Source organism: Homo sapiens, chromosome 14 (genome assembly GCF_000001405.40).
Source record: "Homo sapiens chromosome 14, GRCh38.p14 Primary Assembly".
NCBI lineage: Eukaryota > Metazoa > Chordata > Mammalia > Primates > Hominidae > Homo > Homo sapiens.
The window spans coordinates 37,874,351-37,879,578 of record NC_000014.9 but is presented as its reverse complement, the minus strand read 5'-3'; the positions used below and the strand labels follow the sequence as shown (position 1 = coordinate 37,879,578).

The window sequence follows — 5,228 nt, the reverse complement described above, 5'->3', positions numbered from 1 at the left end:
CACACTGGCCTCCATGTCAGAGTTTCTCTTTAGTAGCCTTCCACTCATCCTGCCTGGAGCCCTCCTGTGTTCATGCTGTTCTCCTACCTGGAAGGCCTTCCAACCTCCACTTCTAGCAATTCACAACTGCCTACTCTTATTTCTGGACCCAGCCCAACTCTGCTTCTCCTAAGAAGCCACTCGAATAACTTTGACCCATGCTCTCCTCTCTCCTTTTAACTCTGGGAGGCAGCAAATCTCAGGCCAGGTTTGAACACTAGTTCAAAGACATAGTGCCCCAAGATGGCACTCACTTTCCGTGTCTCCACTTTCTCTTCTGTAAAATGGGGATAATAATCACCCCTACCCCACAGGATTGTTGTCACGGTAAAAGAGTTAATAGACATAGAGTGACTAATACAGAAGCTGTTGCATAGCAAGTGTGCAATAAATGTCATTGTTATTCAGTTTTACCCAATGATCACTTCATGATACGCTGTCCTATTCCTTAATCATGTATTCATCATGCATATATCTAATGTCTCTGACTAGAATGTCAGGTCTTCATGGGCAAGACTGTACCATATTTTTATCTTTACCCCAGAGGCACACAGGACCAGGCATGTTGTATACATTTAAAAATATCAAATTTTAACATTACAAAACTGGCCAATGCCAGAAAAAGAATGATGACTTCTTCTTCTCTTCCTCCTCCTCCTTCTCCTCCTCCTCCTCTTTCTTCTTTTTTTTATTATTATTATTATTTTTTTTTTGTATCAAAGGAACATCCAGTGATGATTTCGTTTTGGGAAACTCAGTAGGATGGCTTGTAAGTTCTATGCACGGAAGTGCTCTTGGGAAGAACTACCGTACAATACTGCTCTGGGCTCTGCTTGGTGCCTGAACAGATTTAAGTTTCAGAGATTCTGTACTGAGAGTGGGATGTGCAAAAATTTACACTGCTTTATGTTTCCAAAACCGATGTTAGCTTAGCTTTAGAGTCTTTATTTTCACTTAAGTTTACCCAGTCACTTCAAATTTAAACCTTTCATTTGAAATGATTCTCTCCCTCCCACTTCTTTTTCTCTCCTTCTTCACCAGGGTAGTCAAAGTTCCTAAGCCCAACCATGGCAAGGATGGAGTGAGAAATAGGCCATACATCTGGAGGTTTTTTCTAGCTCTGGGCTTTTAATGAGCTTGTGAATATGGCTCTCAGAGGTCAGTTTGTTATACGTGGCTCTGCAGAAAATAGAACATTTTAAACATCCTCAATATAGCCACTTTCTTTGTCTCTGATTTTCTTTCTAACCTCACTCAACTGTATTCATTCTGTAAACTCCATCCCCCAATACTAAGCACCTTGCTGTAAGGAAGTTACAGTTTACAGTAAATGAAAAAACCTCCAGCCTGGCTTACTTTTGCCACTAGCCATAAGAGAAACACATTTCTTTCTTGTTCACAGAAACACAAAACAGCACAAAAAAGGCACATGAAGAAATCCCACAGGAAAAGGCATCCAGAATATCTAAAGCAAACAACATATTTTACTGCATTTATTATCTTCCCAAGAAATGAAAGTGTGAGAGCCCTTAGATATCTGTCCGCAAAGAAAACATTTCTGTTCCACTAGAAATGCCCTACTAAGTTTGATGGTGCCCAGATACTGGTCTTCCTTCTACAAGTTCACCTGTTAAATGCTGTTTGTTCCTCAGAATGGGGTTCTGCATTCTTACTTCCACATTCACTGTTAAAAGGGAGCCTGGTTCAAGCAAGATTGGTGAGTGAAAAGGAAATGTAGAGAGAAATGACAGCTCCCTAAGAAGCAACACTTTTTTTCCCTAGAAAGTGACTTGAATCGACTTCAGTTGAAGAATAAATCATCCTCCAACTGCACCTGCTCTATTGATGGCTCACCGAGAGTTCTAGAAGAGCTCGGACACTCACTGATTGTGCAGGATTCTTAGAGTTACTACCTGTCATTGTGTGATTTTATTCCTGAAGCCTCTGGTGAGTTATATGGCATGTGCTTATGTAGGTGGAAATAGAAATGTATAAATCAGTATATGATCAGCCAGGTCTGAGAATTTTACAGCATCTTTTGACATATTGGAAGCAGACTAAAATTGCAAAAGCAGATTCTTGGCTTCAATCCGAAGCAATAGGTAGTGCTGTGATCAGAGAAGTGCTAAATGTAAGTTTGGAGAAACTTTTTTACAAAACACACACCAACACTGGTTTGTTTTCTGAGACTGGTCCTCTAGACTTCTTGGGATATCTCTGGGGACCCTGTTTGCTAGACCAAGCCACAAGCTCAGGTGGCCAGTCAATGTGTCCCATTGCAGCCTGGGTTCAGCTGCCCTTGGGACTTATAGCAAAGACAGATGTGAAATACTGCTACAGAAGGGCTAATTATGTAAAAAGTAGTTATGCGTGTTAAGAAAACTTTAATGTATTTCACTAAATAAACAATTTTTCAGTAATAGCCAAATATAGAACCCAAAAAAACAAAACCTAGTTACAGAGTAAAATCTTCCTGACTTATACTAAGTTTATTTTGACTCCTCTTTCTCACAGTCTCTGCATAATTGATTTAAAAGCAAATTGCATTTCTAATAATAGATTAGTGTTATTTTTCTTCTACTCTGCTGTAAGCCATAAAAGCAAACATGCCCACTTAATCCATTTTCAGAGTTTCTAAACAACCTGCCTACTCCTTCTCAAATAGTGTGAGTTCCCCCTTCTGAAGTAAAATTTTTGGGGGGCAAAGTCATATTTTGAAATTCTTCTTGTCAAAGCAGAATTCTGTCTTTGAACTCCCCTTTCCAATAATTCTATCCAGGCATGAACTGGTATCACTCTCTCTGCTTTATGCCTGGATAAAACTATCCTTATAGTTTATACACCAGAGGCTTGTTTTCAAAGAATGAGCATCATTTGCTATGGTGATAAATATACTCTGTAGAAAAACTTCAGACTACATTAAACCCATTTACTAAAGTTTTGGAGCAAGAGGGGGCTGGATGGCAGAGAGTGGAGGGGAGGACCTCTTTCAGGAAGTAGATGGAACATGGGTAGCCACAGTCTACAGTTCTGTGTTCTTGGGGCATGCAGAAGGAAGAGAATTAGTTGTCTTTTCTGGTCGGCTGGGAACAGGGGGATATGGTTTCAGAGCCTACACTCAACCCAAAGTCTGGCATGCCCATAAGTGATACCATGGCCCAGAGACTTAGGGTCAGCTTCAACCTGCATGAACAATAGCAAGTTTGGTGAGAATGAAAAAATTCTATCACATCATTTTCCCTGTGTTTAACTCTCCAGTGGCTCCCATTGTTCTTACAATAAGATCAACCACCAGCTAACTTCCAGGTGCCACTAAACCCTGCCCCATTTGGCCTCAATGTCCCTCACAGACTGTCTCCAGCTTGCGCTCGGCCACACTCCTTTTTCTGGTGCTCCCACTCAGCTCCTGCTCCTCTCAGGACTTTCTTGACTTAAATTGCTCTTTCCCACTCACCCCTCACCAACTCCAATATCCTTTAAGTCTCCATTTAAATGTCATTTTTTCATGGAAGCCAATTTAAACTTTCATCAGTTTCTCTTGATACAGTTGTTATGAAATCATAATTTGCTTAATCGCTGTCTTACACATTAGACTGGAATATCAATGAAAGTAGGAACCACGTCTACCCTGAATTCTCAGAACCAAACACATGTCTGGTCTATGGTGGGTGTTTAGTAAACCTTTGACAGTCAAATGCCTGAGAATGAATGAAGTTGTGCAAGAGAACATGGGGGAATACTTCATTAAGTAACATGTTGTGTTTCTAGCATTCTGAAAACCCTGCAGACTAATGTCTCCCAAATACCCAGTGCAGTTATATAAAAAGATTTTATAATTTATAAACAAAATAGAGACTGGGTGCTGTGGCTCATGCCTGGAATCCCAACACTTTGGGAGGCTGAAGCGGGAGGATCACTTGAGCGCAGGGGTTCAAGGTCAGCCTGAGCAACATTGGGAGAGGAGACCACATCTCTACTAAAAATTTAAAATTTATCTGGATGTGGTGGCACATGCCTGGGTGACAGAGCAAGACCATGTCACAACAAAATAAGACCCTCCAAAACCAAAATAGATCTTTTTTAAACTTATAGGATAAGTTTAGTCTATCTTCAAAGCCAAAATGACATTCCTATTAATTGTGGGAGGTAAAGGGGAAAAGATGCAGGAGGATTGAAATATTGTAGCACAATACACGTGCTATGCCTTCCTGCCATCTCAGCTTTTAATTTAGTGGATTTTTAAAATTTAGAATTCCAAGTATGGCACTTCCTGTTCTCTGTTATTGCAGACAGCCGTCCAGGCAGAAAAAAGCATCTGGACCAGAAATCATCATTACCAAGTGACAGAACTGGAACAGGTATTAGAGTGATCCAAGATAATTACTGAGTAGAAAAGATTGATCTCGACTGTTTCCTGAATGTAGCTGAGTTTGACCCAGAACAGTGCTTCTCAAACTTTAATGTGCATATGAATCACTTGGGATCTAGTTAAAATGCAGATTCTGATTCAATAAATATAGAGTGGGGCCTAGGGTTCTGCATTCCTAACAAGCTCCCAGGTAACAGACGGGACTAGTCAACATGGATTGGCACAGGTCAGAGGGCACAATCATGCCCAGACGCAAAGAATGTTCTTCACAGAAAGGAAGTGGTGGGGCCACGCCCAAAAGGGTGAACAGCAAAGCCCAGATGTCGCCAGCAGAGGGCAGCAGAGGGCAGGTTAAAGTGCACTGGATCCGGCCAAACTCAGCCCAAAGGCAGCTCCAAAATAGTTCACATCAGAGCATGCCTAAGAGGACAGGGGAAAAGCAGGCGCTGAGACCACCAGCGGCCTGAAGGGAGATGTTCACATGGATCGAATACACTCACTGGAGGGAGCACTTTGTGACAGCAGAAAGAACACCAATCCCGGGCAGGAGACCAAAGATCTAAGTCAAACACAACAAGAGAGCAGTACATTGGGGCCAGCCACTCACCATCAGCCTTGATTTCCTCATCAGTCAAACAAAGGGTGGTCGCTAATGAACGCTTCTAGTTTTCACGTTCTGCGTCAGTGGTTCTTGTTCAGACCTCGAGGAATCTGGAAGAGACCATGGAGAGACGGCTGGTCACCTGCCAGGGTGAGGCCTTTGGGAATGTGATGGGCAGGGAGTTGGTTTTGTTTGAAAGTCAGGGCTCAGTGGAGGCTT

The 5,228-nt window shown here is 41.9% G+C and overlaps 1 annotated feature.

Annotated features, from left to right (window-relative positions):
• Window positions 4,640-4,699: a silencer, noted in NCBI's record as "silent region_5683". NCBI's record gives its function as "represses an Ori minimal core promoter by ATAC-STARR-seq in GM12878 lymphoblastoid cells {active_cell/tissue: GM12878}" and the evidence as "EXISTENCE:reporter gene assay evidence [ECO:0000049][PMID:35858748]".